This window comes from Homo sapiens, chromosome 10 (assembly GCF_000001405.40).
Source record: "Homo sapiens chromosome 10, GRCh38.p14 Primary Assembly".
Lineage (NCBI taxonomy): Eukaryota > Metazoa > Chordata > Mammalia > Primates > Hominidae > Homo > Homo sapiens.
Window position 1 is genome coordinate 35,493,699 of NC_000010.11, and position 23,073 is coordinate 35,516,771.

At 41.9% G+C, this 23,073-nt stretch overlaps 1 protein-coding gene across 5 annotated transcripts in view, besides 2 other annotated features; it reads left to right on the forward strand.

The window, feature by feature from the left end:
• CCNY (cyclin Y) overlaps positions 1 to 23,073 on the forward strand; it is a 325,643-nt gene that overhangs the window by 246,674 nt on the left and 55,896 nt on the right. For 4 of the 5 annotated variants that reach the window (NM_181698.4, NM_001282853.2, NM_145012.6 and 1 more), the window contains 2 exons: positions 7,803 to 7,837; positions 22,825 to 22,925. In NM_181698.4, coding sequence (NP_859049.2) covers positions 7,803 to 7,837; positions 22,825 to 22,925 — 136 coding nt within the window. The remainder of the gene's footprint in view (positions 1 to 7,802; positions 7,838 to 22,824; positions 22,926 to 23,073) is intronic. The other variant, NM_001282854.2, reaches the window with a different exon arrangement.
• Positions 1,894 to 1,943: an enhancer, noted in NCBI's record as "active region_3264". NCBI's record gives its function as "activates an Ori minimal core promoter by ATAC-STARR-seq in GM12878 lymphoblastoid cells {active_cell/tissue: GM12878}" and the evidence as "EXISTENCE:reporter gene assay evidence [ECO:0000049][PMID:35858748]".
• Positions 4,943 to 5,092: an enhancer, noted in NCBI's record as "active region_3265". NCBI's record gives its function as "activates an Ori minimal core promoter by ATAC-STARR-seq in GM12878 lymphoblastoid cells {active_cell/tissue: GM12878}" and the evidence as "EXISTENCE:reporter gene assay evidence [ECO:0000049][PMID:35858748]".

A 23,073-nucleotide genomic window follows, 5' to 3' on the forward strand; every position in this document is an offset into this window, starting at 1 on the left:
CATTTCCACATGATTTCCCTCAATCTCAATTTTATCACTGTAAAATGGAGTTAGTACCTCTTTGTGAGATTGTCAGGAGGACTAAATGCATAATCCATCAAAGCACCGAGCCCTGTACGTAAGACAACACAAGTTCTCAGTAAATATAATCCTTACCCTAGAGTGTAGGTTCTCATTTGCTCAGCTGGATTGAGTTTCTTCCCTGACTTGGGTCTGTGCCATCTTCTAGCTTGTCTGTGCTGACAGCTCCTCTGTGCTGACTGTGACACCTTGCACCAGAACACTGGGCCTGACCAGGAGGAGAAGGGATGGATACCAGGACAAGAGTAGAGGGTGGCTTCTGTGCACTGCTGTGCCCAGTCCCATCTTTTTCTGTGTTTTCCTTGATAAAGATAGATCGTGGACCCCCACATCTTAGAGTTGCTTCCAGGTTAGGCACAGTGGCTCACTCCTGTAATCCCAGCATTTTGGGAGGCTGAGTGGGGAGGATTGCTTGAGCCCAGGAGTTCAAGACCAGCCTGGACAGCATAGTGAGACCCCCCCCCCCATTTCTACAAAAAAATAAAGATTTTTTTTTTTTAAAGAAAGAGTTGCTTCAACACACCTTGGAAGCAAACCAGAAAGAGGCCAGGTCTGAAATTATATCAGCCAGCATTTGATAGCAGCTCATTATATTAGAATACACAGCACTTTAAGTCTCACTTAAAAAATAAAATGATAACGTCACCTCCACCATGTGTCAGGATAGATTTCTGATGGATTGACTAGTGGTAGAGTAAATGTAACAAATACAATCATAATCATCTAGAAATAGTATACGTGAATATTTAGTGTCAGAATGGGGAAGGGGCATGTAAGTTTGTAGAAGCAATGAAGGAAGTTGCCTAAAAATGAAAACTCATGTCCAAATGCATCTAACAATGAAATCATCAGTGATGGAAATATCACAATCTATAGGAAAAAGGATTAATGCCTTTATGTATTAAAGAATTATTATACAATCAGTCAAAATGCTAACACACCAATAGAAAAATGGGCATATTTCTGTTGGCATGTTCATATATGAGCACATGTATACTTGCACATACTTATATACAAATACATTCATATGCAAAAGTACACATCATGCTTGCTTTGTATATATGCGCACAAAAGAGACTCAAAGGATACACATCAGAATATTAATAGTGATTGTCTCTGGATTGTTGGATTAAACAGGTTGGGCCTCTCAAATTCAAAAATTTGAAATCTGAAATGCTCCAAGATGGATCTGCAACTTACTGAGCACCAACCTGATGTTCAAAGGAAATACTCATTGGAGCATTTTGGATTTCACATTTTTGGATTTGGGATGCTCAAATAATGCAGAATTTCAAAATCTGATAAAAAATATCCTAAATCCACAATACTTCTGGACCCACGCATTTCAGATAAGGGGTGATAAGGATACTCTGTGTGTGTGTATGTTTTATGTATCTCTGTGTTTTCCAAGCAAGCTTTTAATTTTTATTTGCAGTTGCATTTTCTTCTTTATATGGCTCTGTATTTTCCAAATTTTCTGCAATAAGCATGCATTTCTTTTCTGATTAGCAGAAAGTTTTAAATGGATGCCACTTAGCTGAAGTTTCTGTGCTTCTGAAGAAATCCTTTGGCCTTAGATATTCTCTGTGAGAAACAGAAAACCTCTCAAGTGTGTTGGCAGCTTAGGTGGATATTTGTTCTTTGAATAGTTTTCTCCTTATGTTCTTCCTTCGTCTACTTCCTATTCTCTTCCCTGGAATTTTCTCCTCTCCATGACTGGCTGTGCCCTCAACATCTTAGAAATGTTTCTATGTCTTTTCATTTTTGTTTCATTGGCTTTGCTTATTTAGATTTCACTTTGAATGCACAGAATGTCACGTTCCTCTGTGCCCAGATTTCGAAATAAGAGCAGGTCCTGGACAGTTCAGAGCAGGCCAGAGGTCTAATTGGAAGCTCCCTTCCTGCAGCACAGGAGGTGTGCCTTGGGGGGAAATGGCCACACCAGGATGCTTTGTTCTGGGCTCCAAAGTGTGGGTGATGTTCCTGCTACAGTGCACTTTGTGTCCTGGCCGTTTGTGTTCATGACGACTTCCCTGTCAGGGCAGGAGCTCAGCAGGGCAGGAGCCTCCATGTGCATTCTGAACAGGGGCTCAACAGTTGTTTTGAATTGAGTGAGTGAGTGAGTGAGTGAGTGAATTCACTGAATTATTGAAAACTGTAGGAACTGTGTGGTCATCTCAAATTTACTATAAGAAAAGTTAATAGTAAACTTTTAATTTTATTGTTCAAGGCCTGATCTGTGCTACCCACAGGAAAAAGGAAAGGGAAATGAAACCTTTTCTTTTCAACCAGATCTTTGTGATCTGCATTGGAGCTATCTCAGCAATCAGCTTCGTATATCCAAACAAAATTCTGTCATTCTTTAGTTGAAGCCTGCCTCTTGTGTGGCCTGCCAGTCCTTCACATCCAGAGTAGTTAATCAGTTAAGTAAATTTTCTTTGTAGAATAGCACAGCTCTATTCATACCTGGTTCTAATTGTCATTCTGTTTTTAAATGGGACTCGTTTTATGCAGATGCCAAGGATGCCTGTGCACACCAGTGATGTTCTTGTTGGAGGGCGGATGTATAGAGGAAGGGGTCCTACACGCGGTCTCCTCTCTTCTTCTTCTGGGCCTTCCCTTCCTTGGCCTGCTTGGGCTCTTCCCTAGTTTGCCAAAGAAAGAGTATCTTAGGTATCTTAGGACCTTTTTAGTACCAGCATCCTATGGCTTGGTGGTGGCTAACACTTGCCATTGGAAGGTCGGTCTATTTTAGAAATGGAAGAGGAGAGTCAGGTGCGGTGGCTCATACCTGTAATCCCAAAACTTTGGGGGGTGCTGAGACAGGAGGATTGCTTGAGCTCAGGAGTTCAATACCAGCCTGGGCGACATAGTGAGATCTCATCTCTAAAAAAGAAAAAAATTGGAAATGGAAGAGGAGAAACCAAGGTAATCTTTTAAATGCCTACCTATGACAGGAATCAGCTGAAATGGTGTTTAGATTGTTAACAAATCCTCATTAATAATCACACACTAGGTTGAAAGTTGTATTTTAAAGAGTCACTTGTGTGACATTGTGGCAAGAGAGTGTCCCATAGCAACTTAAGTGTAATTTTGTTTGTCCCTCAGATTGCAAACACTGCCTTTTACTCTCTTCACTCCCCATTTTATCAGGAGAAGACTTTTAATGCCAACTGTATTGTTTTTGCTGATTTTAGATGGCTTATTTTTAAAGCCTCTGGTCCATTTTCTGTTTACATCTTTATGGACTGTCACTGTAGCCAATTAAAAATCCTCTTAACTATCATAGATTGTGTCAAAGGAGATTGCTGTTATTCCTCTCCCAGGAAAGAAAAAATTTATGATCCATATCAATTTATTGCCTGTTTTCTCTAAAGAAGCAAAACATAATTATTAGTTAATTCAGTTAGACATTAACTCAGAAAACTCCAGAGATTTTGATTGATTGTTATAGTAACCAAAAATATTGAAGTGTTAAAGATGACTAAAACCACCTATTAGAAATGAGTTGGCATATTGCTTATACCATTACATAAAATAGCTAAAGCATTTTGAATTTCAGAGCTGTACCCACATCAGCCTCAGTGGTTTCAAATTTATTTTAAAGACAGATTTAGATTTGGGCAATTCTGTCAGTCTTTTCAGGTGATACACCACTGTAAAATATTCTGCTTATCACTGGGTGTGGTGGTTCACGCCTGTAATCCCAGCGCTTTGGGAGGCCGAGGCAGGTGGATCACTTGAGGTGAGGAGTTCGAGACCAGCCTGGCCAACATGGCAAAACCCTGTCTCTACTAAAAAATACAAAAAATTAGCTGGATGTGGTGGTGCACCCCTGTACTCTCAGCTACTTAGGCAGGAGAGGCAGGAGAATTGCTTGAACCTGGGAGGTGGAGTGAGTCAGCTCACTTCCCTCCAGCCTGGATTACAGAGCGAGACTCCGTCTCAAAAAAAAAAAAAAAAAAAAAAATTCTACTTATCTTATTCCCCCTATGGTAATGTCTTGGTTGTGCTCCTGCTAGCTTAGGGGAAAAGGAGTAATTAATTTTAAGGGCACTGAGGGTATCTCAGACAGCTCATGAATTGGTGGAACTGGGTACTAAAAGCTGTTAGGACTAAGGCAGCACCTGCCTTCTGCCCATCTCCCTCTGCCGTGTTTCTCTGCATGGCAGAGGGACACCACTGCTTTATGGGGGTCCAGGAATCATAAGACACAAAATACAGTCACACTCATGACTGTAACTTATTACAGTGCAAGCACATGAGGCAAACTCAGTACAGGGAAGAGGTGCACAGGGCGAGTCCTCTCCCATGGAGCCACACAGGTTGCACTTTATCCCCCCATTCACAAATGAGTTGTGAAAACACCTGTGGAATGTTGTCAGCCAGGGAAACTCCTGGGTAGAGACCCAGCACCCAGGATTTTTATGGAGGACCACTCATGTAAGAAGGCTCTGCCTGTTAAGTACCAAAGTTCCAGACTCCCAGAAGGAAATAAACCATACTGTGTGCGGCATAGAGCATATTGTTTGTGCAGACAGCTTAGGCACAGTGAGCCACTCCTACCAGTTAGGAAATGATGGGAAGGAACCCTCCTAAATCCAAGTTCCCAGATACCAGCCAAGGGCCAGCCTTGCAACAGGCCCTTTAAGGATGGCTGTCAGATCTGCTGCTTCACTCTTTCCTGCACAGCGGAGTCCCACCCCAGTCTGAAGTTTACACATCATACCCTCAGTTAAGGTTGAGCAGAGCCCTTTGAGTATGTCCCAACTCCAGATTCCCAGGAGAAGGAGTTAGCCCAGAGAGGGTAAAGTTACCCCCCAATCCAGGCAGGATGGTCAGAGTAATGGGTCACATGGTCTAACGTGGATATCAGGCATTCTTCCCATCTGGGTAGGGACAGGTTGTTGGTTTGGGGGCGCGGAAGACGCTCCAGAAGCAAGTCGGCCATAGAGATGCATGTGTGGAAAATCTTCTCAGAAACTGTGCAGACTTCATCTGCCAAAGACCCTCTTATGTTAGGAGGAGCATTACAAAACCATACAGGAAAGTGGCACCTGATTCAGGCCCCAGGAGCCCCAGGTTGCTCTGAGGAAATAGGGTAGTGTGTAGGTGTTCATTTGCATAGAAGCAGTGAATGCCTGAGAGATTCTGTAATAGATTCAGATAGCTTATCCTCAGGTGTTCTGTAATAGTCTTAGTGAACTTTCGTTTTTCTTCACCATTCTGATTGCAGCCAGTTGGAGTTCATGAAAATAGCCTGATTCCTCCCTGAGATTGATCCTTGTAGGTGGTGGACAAAAATGGCATATGTGTTTATAATATTCTTCTGTGTCTGCTGTAGTTTTTTTTTTGTTTGTTTGAAAGCTTTTGTATTAGTATGTTTTCACACTGCTGATAAAGATATACCCCAGACTGGGCAGTTTACAAAAGAGGTTTAAGGGACTTACAGTTCCACGTAGCTGGGGAGGCGTCACAGTCATGGTGGAAGGTATCTCAGGCACGTCTCACATCGCGGCAGAGAAGAGAAGAGGGCTTGTGCAGAGAAACTCCTGTTTTTACAATCATCAGATCTCATGAGACTTATCACTATCATGAGAACAGCATGGGAAAGACCTGCCCCCATGATTCAATTACCTTCCACCAGGTCCCTCCCACAACATGTGGGAATTCAAGATGAGATTTGGGTGGGGACACAGCCAAACCATATCAGCTTTCTTGGTCGGACTTATAGTCAGAACTATTGAAGGTTATGCATCTCAGCCATTACTTCTACACGTGAATAATTCCTAATCTTCTCAATAGTACCCATATAGGAAGTGCTGGTATTTTTTGAGGCATGGATATCTTTCATTTGCTGAAGGCAGGGGCTGATGTAGGGTGTTGAGGTGACCTTAGTATGGGTGGTGGTTCCCACAGTTGGGAGACTTGTGTCTCTTTTGCACAAACCTATCACTGGGTTGCTCTGAGAAGGGTTAAGTGTCATCTCAGAATGTAGTGGGAACCCTGTCAGTTCTGTGGCCCATGTAGAAAGGGTTTCCGGGTCCCTTCAGTCAGTGGGAAATCACCATAGAATTATCATCATATCCCCATCCTTGGCTACATGTATAATAGTTTAGTATGAATTAATTTAATTCACACATGTGCATGCACACGCTCTATATATGTATGTATGTATGCCAGGAAGTTAAAACCCAGAGCTTCCAGCCAGACCATCCTGTTTGTTTTGCTATGGTTTTCATGTGGATTCTTCCTTGGAGTCAGGTAAAATGTAATCCCTCTGCCTCCATGCTGTGCATAGCAGACCAGTTTGTTGCTGCTGTCTGTGCACTCGTGCTCTGTGTGCGCTAGTCTGGCCTCATGCATGGCCAGGGTGCCCTGTCCTGTGACAGCAGGGGGCTGATCGCCTGCACATGCGTCCATCCGATGGCTTGATGGAGCTGCCTTCTATGTGTCAGTCTCTCTTTTTAAAGTACTCAACAGTATCCTCAGACTAATTTTTGCTTTTGCATTTTTGCTTTTGTTATCTTTGAGATATCAAGAGTGGAAGGCAGCATTCATTCCAGAGAGGACAAGACTTCTAAGGAAAAGAGAAGTGTTTTTTTGTGAGTCTAAGAACAGCATATGAGTGATAGAAAAACAGTTCCATAGTCCCTTCAACAGATCAGCAGGAAGGCTTTTGAAAACAGTAGTGAATCTTCTTTGCAGAGGCATGGACTGTAAGGAGAAAACCTTCTTCTATCTTTTGTACACTGCTGTTTTAGGGTACCCCAAGATAACATTGTTGATTCCTGGGGACCTAGGATGTTATCTCCTTGAATGAAACCTATTCTTCATGTCTTTTACAGTAACGAATAAATGTGTTGATGGATTCATCTGTACCCACAAAATGAGCCTTCAGAAAAGAAAATGCAAAGTTCAGTGATACTAGGTTATTACAAGCTCTTCGTGTTCCCTGTGACTGACCCTTCTACCTCTCTGGGGCAGCAGGCTCCCATTCTGAGAAACACTGGTATCTGGGGACACTGCAGGCTGAGCTGCTCAGCACAGGCCATGCATGCAGTGTGAGAAGCCACCTTGTTAGAGCAGTATCAATTATGGTGACTGTTAGAGCAGTATCAATTATGGTGACCTCTGTCAGCCTTATGGGGTTGGGGTTGGGTGCCACAAGGAGCTCCAGGGGCTCCCAGACAGAAGCCCAGCTGTATTCACCAGCACCCAGCATGGAGAATAATGGGTTTCCATGATAAGTAATGCTGCTGATGTACATCGTCTTCCTGGATCTCAATGCTTTCTAGATATTATTGTTATTTATATTTCCCTTATATACTGTGGAGCTTTATGGGTCTGGTAGGGTTGGGAATAAATAGTCCTATCATTTGTTAATTATGTTAAACTAATAGATGCATATGAGTTTTATGAGGGTTACTAATTACTTTTTTATTCAGTTAATGGAAATCTGTTACCCCTTAATTGATTTCAGCTGCAGTTATTTTGTTAGGGTGCTCTTGTTTAAATGGATGTATATTTCCCTCTGTGAGCCAAGTTCATTCAGATCTGCATTTGTGCAGGTCCTGTATTCTTATGTTTGATAAATGAGCAAGTGGGTATGTTGGTTGGTGGAAGGACGGGACCACGACACAGAGGCCCAGTCCTCATCCACCTGCCAGGGGTTGGCATGCAGGCATATAACATTTCTGTTGCATCTTTTGTTTTCACAGTGAGAGAAAAACGCAAGAGTCTCTTCATTAACCATGTAAGTGAAGCTGTCTCCCTGTGTTCTTCATAATGACTGTACAGTGTAAAGAGCTAAAATAACTGTCTGTGATGGATGAAAATGGCTCATGTGCTTTGTAGATACTTGGAAGAATGTTGCAGTGTACTTATGCTTAGTTTGGTTTGTAATTGGACAAGCATCACTCAGTATTTGTCCACTGTCCCAAATATTTTTCCAGAAGCCCTAGACCACTATTGTTCATGAGATGATGTGTGTGAACAATAACATATCAAACATCACCCAGCAAGTCCAAGCGAAAGCCACTTCTTTTTAATTTTGAATCCTTTCCTTTCTCTACCCTCACCCCCAAATTATTCTTTTTCTCTTGTAGCTCAGTTCCATTTGAATAAACACATAGTTGTTTTCCATGAGGCTCTCTGTCTCCACACTTGACTCTTCCCATTTGTTGTTTGTGGGTCCAGTAGAGTCTGCGTGTTCTTCTGATGCTCCAAGAAAGGATAAACTTGATAACACTAAATTTAAAAAAGATGTTCAAACATTTGGCTGGAGTCTTTTGGCCATTCTTAGCCATGTCTCCCTCCCCTGGTGGCCAGGTGCAGGTGCCCCATTGAGATACTTCATCCCTCTTCCTTCCTTGAGCAGAGATGTAGCTGGCTGGCTCCAGCACCTACTCCACACCCTATATACCAGGCAAGTCCTAGCCACACCTTCTTCTTAGAAATATGGCCCTTTAGGAAAGAAAACTCTCCGAGAGGGATGGAATGATGAAACAGGTGTAAATTATCAAAATAAGTATGCTCTAAGTCCTCATTCTAAAAACAGAACCACACAAGGGTCTTTCTCAGGATTTTTAGACTGTCTGCATCTGTGTATTTGAAGATCTTGAAATAGTCCTAAAGCTGTGTATTAAAGAGACTTAAAGCCATAATGTTGTATTCTCTGCCCTTTGAAAATATGGACAAAATGCAGTTGGGAAGAAATTCATAAGCTGGGCCCTTACACTCAAGGGACATGATGCTACGCCCTTAGGAGACTGATGACTTCTTTGTAGTCAGTGTTAATATATATGCACATATACAGTTTTCTAGGGGTCAGAGGGCTTATTATTTTTAGCAGATTCTTAAAGCAATCTGTGACCTTTTCCCTCGGCCCCTTAAATTTCAAAGCATCTGTTTAAAGCACCTTTGAAATTGCAATCTGTGTCATGAGGAAAATATGAAAATTGCCATGCCTTTTTTTTTTTGAAAGCAGTATATACCTGGATATAAAAATTTGAGCGATTGGAACGAATTCTCTAAATCCTTGCTTCCATTTCTTTGCCTGCTGGGTGCACTTGAATGCTTTCCCACTCATTACACTCATTAGCATGCCTGCCAAGGAGCTTGCAAGGGAAGGAGAAGAGCTGGAACTGCATCCAGGCCATCTTTCCTGTTCACTGCAGCTCCATGGAAGGTGCATTGAAGAAAGAGGAGGATAGGAGTTTGTGTCGCTCTGTTATCATTGTAGCTGATGATACAGAGGTGTGCTCCCACAGTTCTAACCTGCATACCTCTTTTAACATCCCTGCACGCCCCACCCCCCCAACAGGCACACACCTAACCTTGCCATTTCGTGTCCTGTATAGTCTGAGCACCTGCCACACACTTGAGAACACATCTGCTGCACCCAGCACATGGATTAGTATGGGAGGCCATGCATTCTCATGCACAGTATCTTCTAACGCCCAGCCCAGCATTCAAACCTCTGTAAAATCACATCTGCTGACACAGAGTGAAATCACACAGTTGTTGAGATCTCTGCAAATGCACCTGTTCCTATAGAAAAGAAATCTGGGTGCTAAGTTTCTTACATAACAGATGACCCTGTAACAAGCAGCGTGACCCTCTAAACTGTGAACAGACCTCGCTGCAAATGAGCGCCATCAGTCCTGCCACGCTAGGAAAAGCCGTGGGAGTGTGCCAGTCCCACCAGCTGAAATATCATTTGAGTGAAATTACCTGCAGATTCAATTAGGCTAATAAAGCAGCTGTACTTTTCAGGTTTTGAAACTTAGGAATAGTAAGTTAGAACAGTGGAGAAAGGACGAGCAATAATAATAATCGGTCCCATCTGCTGAGTGCTTTAAAGTGTGTGTGCCAGGCTCTGCTGTAATTGGTTTAATGGACTCATTTAGTTAGCACAATGGCCATGCTAGGTAGGCACAATTCAGTATTACTGTTTTACAGATGAGGAGATGAGGCACAAAGAAGTTAGCCAAGTAGACAGTGGAGCCCGGGTTGAGTCCCAGGTGGTCTGCTTCAAGCACGCCACTTAGCTCGCACCCTCTGTGTTCCTCAGATAATAACACCAGTTCCCATGTGACAGAGGTTGTTTAGCTTGCTTATCTGAACTTAGAGATAACATTTATAATTAAATTTGTATGGGACAGTCTCTAGGGTTCATTTCTGAATATGGATCTCAACTGAAATTTATCATTTAGTTTGTTACTGAACTCTGGAGTGATAGTTATTTTTCGCCCTTATTATACCATTTCATTTTTTATTTGCTTTATTGTGAGGGATGTTGTTTCTTTAATTTCTCTTTCAAGTTTTGAAGAACCCACTTAGTACATGTTGCTAAGTTAACCTACAAAGAGGCTACTATTTAAGAGAAATGAATACAGTTGTGTAGGTAAGCCATTTAAGACAAGGCGAGTGTTCACCTCTACCCCCAGGACCATGATAACTGCAGGGGAAATAACCTCCTCCAGGTGGAGAAAAGTAAGGCTTTCCTGGTTTCCAGCAAACAACACACATAAGCAAGTGAAAAGAGTGGACTATGACCCAGGACATTCTCCAGGGAATGGGGCAGTAGAGAATGGTCCCCCAGGCTGGAAAATGAGAGGGGCCTTTAACTGGCTCAAAACAGCCAAGAGAGACTCAGAGGATTAAGTGAAAGGAGACCACTTCTCAAGGAATTATTCCAGGTTTTGAAGCTTGAAGCCATTTGAAAATAAACCACTTTGGATGTTTTGACAGCAGGTTCAATCAGGGTGAATTATAAAGGTTAATATTTTAATCAGCACCTATGTTTTAGATGTAATTAAAGTGAACAGGTATAGGAAGGTTTTTGTTGTTGTTGTTGTTGTTGTTGTTTTTGAGATGGAGTCTCGCTCTGTCACCCAGGCTGGAGGGCATTGGTACGATCTTGGCTCACTGCAACCTCCCCAACCCGGGTTCAAACTATTCACCTGCCTCAGCCTCCCAAGTAGCTGGGATTAAAAGCATGCGCCACCATACCCGGCTAATTTTTGTATTTTTAGTAGAGACAGGAATTAGCTATGTTGGCCAGGCTGGTCTTGAACCCCTGACCTCAGGTGATCCACCCGCCTTAGCTTCCCAAAGTGCTGGGATTACAAGCATGAGCCACTGCGTCCAGCTAGGAAAATTTAATGCATATGAAAGATACACGTATTTTTAAAAGGCTGTGTAAAGGGATTTATGTAAAGTTTATTTAAAATTTGCTGACATTTTGACTTTGCTTTTTTTTTTTTAAGGTTAGCTGTTTTTATGAATCTTTTAATTAAAGTGTAAAAATCTCTGATTATAGATTGTGGGTGACATTGTAGGTGGTTGGAGTTAAGAATCACTCCTGAAAAAAAAAAATCACTCCTGAAACTCAGAATGTATGCTTTTTACCTTAGCCTCACTTTTCTATGATTATCTTCCTGCCACCTGGTGATAGCACACCAAAAATGAATGGGTTATTCTAAGAAGTTAAAAAAAAAAAAAAGATGTGAAAACAGAATGAATGAGGAGTTGAATAGCCAGCTTCCTTTGTCTTGTTTGCCATAGGTGCACTTTGAAACGAGAAAGCCAGACTGGGAATTCTGTGTAGTGTGATCCTCAAAAAAAAAAAAACCAAAGCATTTGTCTCAACACTGAGTCTGGTGATAGTTGAGGAAACTTTGTGAGGAAGTAAAGCAACTAGGGAGAGTTACTTATCAGCTAAGCAAGAGTCACATTATTATTAGTGGGACTTGGAGCCAAAAGAACTTTGTTCAAACCCTCGTTCTGCCACCTGCTAATTGGGCAATCTTGGAAACATCTTGAAATCTCAGTTTTCTTATCTCCTAGGGTGGGTCATAATTCCAGACCTACTTGACTCAAAGGTAGTGATTTGCAGCCTAATTATAACACCATATACGTATGTTGTATTATTATTGTCCATTGGAATTTAGGTAAAATTGATTTAATTTTCCAAGTTCAATATCAAAACTGATGAAAGTCTTTCTGGTATTTTGAGTATGGATATAGTTTTTTCATAATCATTAAGACCAGGATTTTCTGGGAGGAGTATATTCTGTTCAGCTCCCTTTGGAGAATACTGACTTGAATCATTTGCTCCTCTTAACACAGTTCAGTTCCAAATCAGTTTCTGCCTTTTAGCTTTGAGTGAGGTAGGAATAGGAGTCCTTGTAAAAAGGTGTCTATTCTGGTTATAGGCTTCATCTGTAAGTCATAAAAGTCAAGTAATACAGTGAGCTACATCTAGGAACTGAAATTTAAAACATTTTAAATCTTGCTTTTGCCTCTGGAATAGAATGAGAGTTTATTGAGCAGCTGCTGTGTTAGCATCAATGCCATATGCTTGGAGGATGTGAAAGAAGACTAAGTTTTTAAAATATCAGTAAAAATTTTAAAAATCCAATAAGATTAAAGAAATCCAGCTTTTACTTTGAAATAATTTCAAATGTATAGAAAAGTAACAGCAATAATTGAGAGTACAGGATTTTCATGTGACTAAAGGAACCTTAGATGCTCTGGTTCTCAGACCCCCTGTTCTGCTTCACCCAGGGATGTTGACATGGGGTAGGTGTTTTGTTATTTTCTCTCTTCTTTTTGTTTTTTCTTCTTCTTTTTGCGGAATGTCTAGAAATGATAATGATAATGTTACACACACTGGTACATTGAGAAGCTTGGGTAGGACATCAATTCCTTAAGTGTATTGGTTATGTCTGTGGAGGACTTTCTCTTTTCTTACCTCTTTCTGTTTCTTCTTCACCCCTTCTTCCCTTTCTTCATGCTGTCACTCTTGTAATGAGGCACAAAGGAAGTGGCACTTGTAAAGTGTAATGGTCCATTCAAATACAGGGCAGCCGACAGGTGGAATTGCTTCCCTAGTGCCTTTGTGGAAGGTCATTTTGAAAGCTACATTGTCCTTGTTAAGACACACAAGTGACGGGGCCACTGAGCTGTTGTTATGATTTAGCCTGGTAACTCATGGTGTGTTCTCCATGGAAGTTCCTATGTTGGAAGCCCTGATCTTTTGTATATAGTGTTAGGATATCATCCCTTAATTAGCCAGCACAAATTCTTGACCACAGCTGCCTGGTTTTCACATTGCTCTGACACTGCTACATGTGGGGAAGGAGCTGTTCTCATTTTAGTCAGTCACTGACTCTTGGTTCCATTGCTGCCATTCCCAGAGTTAGGGGAAGCACAACCACTCCTGCTAGCTGGGCAGGCACTGAGGGCCTCTTCACTGTGCATTCTACTTGTCACTTCATTGCTCTCCTAACCTCCTCAGTTTTCAACTCCATCACCTTGCTCAGGGACTTCTGGAGTAGAGAGAAGAAAGGAATGAAGTGAAGCCTTGAAGGAGCATTCTACTTGAAGCAGGAACTTTGTCAGAAAAGCCCTTTAAGAAGCAGACTTTGTATCCCTTAGCCTTGTGTTATAATCTGTTCTTTGACTTTATATATACATATATATGTGTGTGTATATATATGTGTGTGTACATATATATGTTTTAACTTTTATTTCAAACTTACAGAATGATTTTAATAGTAGTAATACAGAAAACTCTCATCTACCCTTTAGCCAGATTCATCAGTTTTAAACCAATATTCTCTCACATTCTGCACATCCTTGGTCATTGTCTTTTATTATTTTTTCTGAATTGTTTGGAAGTAGGTTGTCTGCATTCTGCCTTTTCTCCCTAATACTCCACTGTGTATTTCCTAAGACCAAGGCTATTCTCTGTGTAACCACAATATTATCAAAATAAAGAATTTAACATTGATATGTTTCTTCTAATTAACTGATCATATTCCAGCAATGTTAAGTGGCTCCGTAATGTCCGCTACAGCGTGTTTTTCTGTGGTATGGGTTTCACTCCAGCCTGACACATGGCATTTAGTTGGCATGCACGCTCTATGTCCTTTAATCTGGAGCAGATTCTCAGCCTTTCTCAGTCTTTCAGGACATTGACACTGTTGAAGAATACAGGGCCAGTTTTTTTTTTTTTTTTAAATAATAATGTAATGTTTCTCATTTTGGATTTGCCCGAAGGATTCAGTTAAACATTTACAGCCAGAATACTACATGGAGTGTTCCCTTGCCCTTTTCAAGACATCAAATCGAGAGGCAGGCAGTTTCATCTGACTCTTGTTGCTGATGTTGATTTTGATTACCGGGCAAGGTGCTGCCTGGATCCTCCACTGTCTGTTTACTCGTTTTCCCTTTGCAACTAATAAGCAGTCTCTGGGCAGGTACTTTAAAACCATGTAGATATCCTGCACTTTATCCCCACCCCCAGATTTAGCATCTGTTGATCAGGCTTGACCGAATCAATCTTTATTATTTTTGGTTACAAAATGGTGGTTTTCCAGCCCTACCATACTTCTCTCCCTTTGTCAGTAGGTGTTCTGCTTAAGAGAGAGCCTTCTCTTCCCATCTGTCCATCTGTCTGTCCATCCAGCCATTTTCAGTACAGATTCCTGGATTTCTGCTTTTCTAATGATACCTAGTTCATGCTTGTGCTTAAATATTTCGATGTCCTAGATTTGGGTAGTGGCAGTCTTTTGATACTGGTTTTGTGTTCTTGTGACATGCTCCATCCTTTCGTTTTGTTTTGCGAACTCCTTTGCTTTCTGGCACAATAAGATATTTCAGGCTCATCTTGTACCTCTGCCTCAACCCTGGATAGCCATTTCTCCAGGGAGTCCTGATTCCTTTTAGTGGCAAACAGTGCTAGAACCAAGGTCTGGACACCATGTGTGCTCATTGCTGCTGGGGTGCTATTGCTTCTAGGCCCATTTAGCAGGTGTAGCTAGGAAACAGACATTTCAGAAATCATGAATTCATACTGTTACTTTAAATTTCCCATTCCAGTCTATCCCATAGGGTTTTTTCTTGACCTTGGCCTTTGACTTTTTAATTTCTACTGAAAAACTTATTTTTCAATTAAGTTTTATTGATACATAATTAACATGTAAAATTCACCTTTTAAAAATATACAGTTCAGTGGTTTTTAGTGTAACCACAGAGGTGTGCAACTGTCATCACAGTTAATTTTAGAACATATTCATCACCCCCAAAAGAAACCCTGTACCCATTAGCAGTCATTCCTACTCCTTCCCCTCCCCCACTAGTCTACTGTTTGTAGATTTGTCTATTTTGGATATTTTATATAAATGTAATCATATAATACATGGCCTTTTGTGAGTGGCTTCTTTCACTTAGCATAATGTTCTCAAGGTTCATCCGTGTATCTCAGTACTTCATTCCTTTTTATGGCCAAATACATTTCTACAGAGCAGAATTCTACCATAAAGTTGGCATTTTCCCAATTTTTGTTCTGAGATCCAAAGTTGGCTTATTTTCTCGCTTTCATAGAGAATGATTTGGTTCACCTGGGTTCTTAACTCCATGGGTATTTGCCTTCTGCTTTAGTCTTGCTGTAAATAATTGATCCTGCTAAAAGCTGTACCCTTTTTTGGGGGCTGGGGGTAGGGGGTCAGAGTCTTGCTCTGTCACCCAGGCTGGAGTACAGTGGTGTGATCTTGGCTCACTGCAACCTCTGCCTTCCCGGTTCAAGTGATTCTCCTGCCTCAGCCTCCTGAGTAGCTGGGATTACAGGCACCTTCCACCACGCCCAGCTAATTTTTGTATTTTTAATAGAGACGGGGTTTCACCATGTTGGCCAGGCTGGTCTCAAACTCCTGACCTCAAGTGATCCAGCTGCCTTGGCCTCCGAAAGTGCTGGGATTACAGCCATGAGCCACTGTGCCTAACCTGTACCTTCTTTTTCTTTCTATGGAACATTAGTTTGTGAACACTTTGAGGTCAGAGAGGAAGATTTTTTTCTTATTTTGCTTTTTGTCTTTGTGTCTCTGTGACCCCTGGTGGTCCTGGAAAAGTGATGATGGTGCTTTCCTCTCTCCCAGCCGGGTGCCTTCCCCGCATGGGCATCCCCCTGTGAGCACACCTGCTCTTGCTGATCAGTGCTCTGGGTTTCACAGGCTTCAGAATCCCACACAAAGTTCTTGAATTCCACTCCACCCTGTATTAGCTGTGTGAATAAGGCAAAGACAGTTCTGCAAAATGAGTGGCCTTTATGGTTTCGTGGAGACTGTCTGTGAGCTGGGAGTTCAGCAGGTGGCAGGTGTGATCCTGCAACCCAGCCTCCCCTCCACTTCTGCACTCCAGCAGGCCTTTCGTTCATTCCTAGTCAAGGAATGCCAGTGCAAGTGGCCAGTTCTCTGTGGCCCGAGGAGGCTGCAGACCAAAACCTGCCTCCTCTATCAAGGTCATAGTTTGCCCTCCTTAAGATTAAAAAAAATTGTGGAGCTTTCATATTTAGAGATTTCATTTATATCACTTCTTTTCACAAACTTTTACTCCTTCTTTTCCTCTAATAATAATACTTCATTTTATTTATTTATTTATTTGTGAGACAAGGTTTCACTCTGTCACTCAGGGTGGAGTGTAGTGGCACAATCATGGCTCACAGCAGTCTTGACTTCCTGGGCCCAACCGATCTTCCTGCCTCAGCCTCCTGGGTAGCTGGCACCACAGGCATGCATCACCACACCTGGCTAATTTATTTCTATTTTTTGTAGAGATGAGGTCTTGCTGTATGGCTCAGGTTGGTCTCGAACTCCTGGGCTCAATTGATTCTCCCACTTGGGCTTCCCAAAGTGCTGGAATTATAGGCATGAGCTACCATGCCTGGGCCTTACATTATTTAATGCTTTTTTTTGATCCTAACAAACCTTTCTAAGAAGTAGTAAGACAGTCATTGAAAATGGGAAGTTAAAGCCTAGAGACTCTTAAGTGTTAAATGACTTAATATTTATTCAGTTCATGTACGTGCTAGGCACTTTACAGGTGTTATTCTTCACAGCACCACAATGAAGGACAGGTTCTGTATCTGAATTTTATTGATGAAGACATTGAAGCTTGGGGAGGCTAAGCCTAAGGTGATAGGCTTATACATTTTAATTAATTACGAAAGGGGTTACTATTATTGGTTATTCTAGGACAACAGGGACAAACTACGGCTGTCCTGATCAAGCCAGGATGTGTGATTGTCCTCTGTAAGTAACTTGCCCACATTTACACAACTCGTCAGTGGCAGAGCTGCAGCCAAGCACTGGGCTTTCTGACTCCACTGTGCTCCTGCCCTGCCTGTCTGGAGTGTCTCGTCCACATGAACTTGGCTCCTTGATCTGCCTGCCATGCCTCACTTCATGTGTTCGGAACGTGTCAGCATTTCACTGCCCAATGGTGCAGGCCCCTGCGGCCAGCTCATTGCCACACAGCATGCCCCTTTCTGCCGTAACACAGCTGCTGTGGCCACACTGTGGTCTCCCTCACAGAGGATCCTGTGCCATAATGGAGGCAGACGACTTCCCACAGTTGGGGGCAGTGAGCACTCTAGTCCCGGGATGGAGCTGTTCTTCATTTGCTGATTCAAGAAAATACCAGTCTGTACCTCCAAGACACCTGCAGTCTAGACCCCGGAGACATATAGAAAAGTGAGCCAGAAATGACAATGGAGAGTGACTGGTGCTGTGGAGGGTGAACACGGGCATAGAACACACAGAGGGGTACCCAGCCCAGGTGGTCTGGTGGTAGGAAGGCATCTAGAGGAAGCACTGTCAGCAGAGTGCTGAAGGATGAGTGGAGTCAGGGAGGGGAAAAGGTCTGTAGGGTATTGTACAAGAAGGTTTAGGAATGAACAGCTCAAGGGAAGGGCTGCAGAACCCCAGAGAGGGAGGCACGGACTTGGTAGTCAGACAAACATGGCTTTAAGCTCTGGTGTCTTAGATTTGGTGTTGGAAATGCTACTTCATTTCTCTGATCTCCTTGTCTGTAAAATGGGAATTCTACCCTGCAGTGCAGGGCTCTGAATGTTTGTGAGCTCTAAGTGAATACACGTAAAGTAACCCAGAACACTGTGGGTTCATCTTTGATGGCCATTAAATAAAAGTGGCCGTTGTTCCTTTCATCTTTGAATTATGTCCAAGTGTGGTGTGCAGGGAAAGAGGAAGTGAACCGTGAACCTGGAGAGATGGAGAGTTGACTCGTGTGTCTCTCCCCAGTGGAGAACGTCAGAACCATCTAGGCAGGGAGGCAACACGATCTGATTTGCTTTGTATTAAGGTGACAGTAGCACTTGAAGAAGAATGGTTTAGAGAGGAGTGAGCCTCGAGGCAAGGTGGTTACTGTAGTGATACAGGTGAGAGTCCACGTGGCTTTCATATACCAGATAGTGGCTAGAGGGGTGCAAGGGAAAGGATGATGTGGAAATGTACTTGGAATAGAATCGATAGCACTTGATACAAGGAAACCAACAGAAAGGAAAACAAAATTCAAGAATATTTTGTGGATTTCTGGTTTTAAGCCATTACAGTTGATTAGAGGAACAAATTAGTTTGGCATTTGAGGTACCCATGAGGAACATTGAGATGGAGGGGTCAACCAGGCAAGTAGTGAGCTCAGAAGAGAAGTTGGGGCCAGAAAGGAGAGATTTGGGACCCAACAGAGGGGAGAAGGAAGTTGAATTAATGAGAGTGGGTGAGAGTCCCCTGGGAAAGTGTTTAGAGGAAGAAGAAAAGACCATTACATTTGAGGAAATTCAGAGAAGCAGAGTCCACAAAGGGACTGCGACTGAGTAGCCAGAAAGATGGGGGAAAGCAAGGAGGAAACCCCAGAAAGAAAAAAGCTTCAGTTCAAATATCAAATTGGTAGGAGGACTGCAGAGGACCCATCTGCATAGCGGACTTAGAGTTTTTTGTGAATGGGGAGGGAGTGTGGAGGTTGAGCGAATTCAGAAAGACATTTTGAAGAAGCCGAGGGACTAATTAGTTCTGGCCTGAAGAGAGTTAGGGCTTCTACTCCAGGTAGGGGGAGGGATGACCGATTTGCCAAGAAAGAGGCAAGAAGGTTGAGGGGACGCTGTCTGGTGGCCTCTGGGTTCTGTGACTCAAACTCCCTGTGGGGAGCTCAGCATGGTGATGGGTGGAGGATTTGAGGAGGTGTCGCGGGTGGGAGCAGTTGAAATAGTTGGGAGGAAGATTTGGGGTCATTGTGGAAGGTCCAGTGGAAGTCTTATCCCTGCTTCCTCCTCCTCATCATCCTGCGCTTTGATCGTATGTTTGTGTGTGCATGTACATGTGTGTATCCATGTATCTTTGTATCTGACAGACATCAGTATTGGAATTATCTAAGGGGATAATCTCATTATTTGGGACACATGATAACTCTTCAATAAAATCTTCTTAAATATATCATTCAACAATTTTTGTATATTAATGGACCTTGATGTAAATCATATTTTGTACTATAGACATTGTGTGAATACATGGACTAAATGACCTTGCTTCAGTCTAGCTCTAAAATTCGATTATTCTGCATATTCATAGCTTAATCTGTAAGGTTCACATTATTTCAAAGATATAAATTTTATTTCTTTAGAATAATTCATAATTGGGCTTCTCACTCATCAGGCTCCCCTTCTAAGCAGTTCGTGGTTAACTCTGTAGTATCTGCGCTCTCACCAAGACACTTACTGTATTTGGGACAATCTTTCTAAATTGTTTATAGGGTGATGCCCATCCTTTGCAAGTAAAACATTGCCTTAGACATTTCCTTTTATGGTTTTCCAAAATGTTGCAGGCATTAGGCATAAAGAACATCCCTGTTGCTTTTTTGACCTGTTTAACGCAGTTTCTACTTAACGATTACCTGCAGGTGCTTCCCACACACTCGCCCTGCTCAAGGTGCTTTACAAATACTAATTCATGCACTCCTTCTGATAGACCCATGAGGTAGGGTCTGTCATTTTCATCTCTGTTTTACAGCTGAGGAAACTGAGGGGCAGAGAGGGAGGCCAGGTAACTTGCCCAGGCCACGCAGCTAGTTATGTCCAAGTCAGATTAACTACCAAGAGTCATGCCCTGCTGTTTCTCCAGCACATCACTTTGCTGTGTCATTTACTAGCAAAGATGGGAACCTAAGTGGGAGGGTCTGTGTGTGCATGTGCACGCACATGTACAAGCATACCAGTGTTTCAGAATCATGGAGCAATACATTAACAAAAATATTTTGAGTGACACTGAGAACTACCTGACACACGTGTGCTTATGAAAACTATCGAATTAGAATGCTCTGTTCTGTGAGTGATACACCTCTGCTGCTTCCAGAGGCCGAGCATCAGTCAGTTGTTGGATGGTACCACACAGCAGGAGGTGTTGTACTTTCCTCCACCACACCCTGAGAGGACCAGTTCAAAAAAAAAAAAAAAAAAAAAACAGAGACAACCCTGGGGTCAAGAGCATTTCTAGTAGAAGGATTACAGCTATTTCGGCTTTTTAGTGATGTGGGGTTCAGATCAAGAGAAGTTCACATTCTATGAGTCTTGTAGTCCTGACAGTCAATAAATGACTTAGTGCCTAAATGGTCTTTAGAGTGTTGAGATACTCTGAAACTAAAATCTTTATAACTCAATACTTGGGATCTTTATTCAGTTTCGAAGTTATTAAATAGTTTAAAAGCTGGGTTGGCATCCCCCTGGGATCGAGGGCTTTGGCAGATCAGCCCTTAGTTCTGGGGTGCTCAGACCCGCAGGTGGGGCAGTCCTCAGGCCAGGGCAGGGTCCCTTTGTGTGGCTGGCTTTGAGTTAACCCTCTGAACCTTAGGGATGGTGCACACAGAGGGGTGGTGCCCTCCCTGTCAACTCACAAAGGTTACTTCCTAGATTATGATGGGACATTCTCTGTATTCTGAGGGTTCCCATGACCCCGTGCATCACTCTTCTTTCCCTGACTTTGTGGCTTATATTTTCTTAGGGAAACCATTTATTCTTTGCAAGCCCTGTTACATTTTAATCTGGAAGGAGTTTGCATCAGAGGAAACAATTGAAACCCACAAGAAACACAAATGAAATATTATTGTCCTTTTCCTTCATTGTTGGGATTTCTAAAGTTATCCCATATCTCTAAAAGTTTATTAACACCAGAAAAAATTTAATTAATTACTGACTTTTAATGTTAAATATGGTATCTGTGTTAAACATAGATTTTTTGTTTGTAGTAGATTTTACATCTGTAGGAAAAATTCCTTAAGCATTTTTAGTTTATCACCTATGGTAATAGCTGTTATTAGAGTCTGAGGCTTTAGTGCGTCTTCTGTGACTTACATGTGATTCTACAAGAGTTTAAAAAGAGGAAGAGAATTGGTTTAAATGTCTGGATTTTCTTAATGAAATGTGATTCATTTGATAGATGTTAAATGCCATGTGAAAACTGACATTTGACTTCAGACTTGAATTTCACAAGCGTTCTCTATGCCCTGTCCCCACATAGGCACTTGAGAGTGTAAGCCTAAGGAAAGAACCCTGGGGAGAGGCCTCAGCTTCTGAATTTTCCTGGTTGTGGTTCTTTCCTTCTAACCTGTTTGCTGTTGATGTGAGACTAGGGCTCCGAGGGTCAGGATGCTTCAGCAGCGCAGTGCTAACTGTGATTTAAGAAATTGGAACCCCAAAGAAGTAACTAGTATCATTTGTTATCTAGTTTTGAGAAGAGATTCTGTTTATAACATTGTTTATATATTTCTCAGACTGCCTCACATTTTCCTTACTTTATTACTGAGGAAACCTTATTAAATGAGAAATAAATTTTAAGATATTGAACAGGGCATTTGGTCTCTAACGTTGAGGCTTCCTTTACTAAATTTGTGAACTGTGTACACCCAGGGTGTGTTGCAGGCGGGCAGGTCAGGCAGAAGACATTGTGATCCCCAAGGGATTATTAAGTTTTTTTGTTGCTGAAAATGACACTTAGACATTCAACATAGCATCAGGCACGTGGAAACTTGTTTGCATAATTTAACTTTTTTTCTAGTTTGCTTTTGATCAGGAACTATCCAGATTGATGTGTACTAATCATATTGCCCGATTGTTGCCAGAAATCTATTTAGTGTTCAACTAGGTGTCATCAGTGTGTGCTATAAATTCTATTTACTTCACCAGTACCTTCTAGAAGGAATTCTGTTCTAAAGTTCTCCAAAGAGCCCAAAAGTTGTACAGTTATGAAAGAACCTGTCATAAGACCACACAAAGAACTATCTAAAGGTCATTCATTGGTTGTATTTTCAAAAGTATCAGATAATCTTCCCCTTTAAAACTTACTTTGTCCTTAACAAAGCAATATTTTTTCATTATAACTTTACCTGCTGAAATTCAAGCAGATTAACCAGGAGATTCTAAATTAACATTGGCTGCATTTTCCATGGCCCCTAAATCAACTGTATTTCAAGAGTAAGGAAAGTGGGTACAGTGGACACTTGTCTTGATCTTAGTGCGTAAAACCAGGCCACCATCTAAATTGCAGGCTTTTGTTAGTTTAGTAGATCCCATGTTTCATACAAGCCATGGGGCAGGTGATTTTTGTGGACTCTGAAACATGCTTTTTGATGCTTGATTGCAAGAGTTTACTGTTCTCCTGATGCAGGAAGTTAGGGACTAGGTGTGGTCCTGGTGACTTTTATATATGGAAGAGCAAGGAAGTTCATTTTATGAATAAAGTGTTTTTGTACTGTTCTTGGTGGTAATGTTGACATTTCTTGCTAAGACATTTTTCCTCTGTGGTCTTATCTCAAGTTAAGCGGGGGTGATGTTTCTTGGAAGAATTCTGAGCCCTGTGTAATTGCCTTAATCTTCTTGCTGTTGTTTTCTAGCATCCTCCAGGACAAATAGCAAGGAAATACAGTTCCTGCTCCACCATTTTCCTAGATGATAGCACAGTCAGTCAACCAAACCTCAAGTATACAATTAAATGGTGGGTATATGGATTTATTTCCTTCCTTCCTTCCTTCCTTTTTTTTTTTTTTTTTTTTTTTTTTTACTTAACTGAATGCTTTTTCTGTTCCTTAACCTGACAGCTAAGCTGGTTGGTTGTGGGGTCTGGGAGTGATAAGATTGGATGG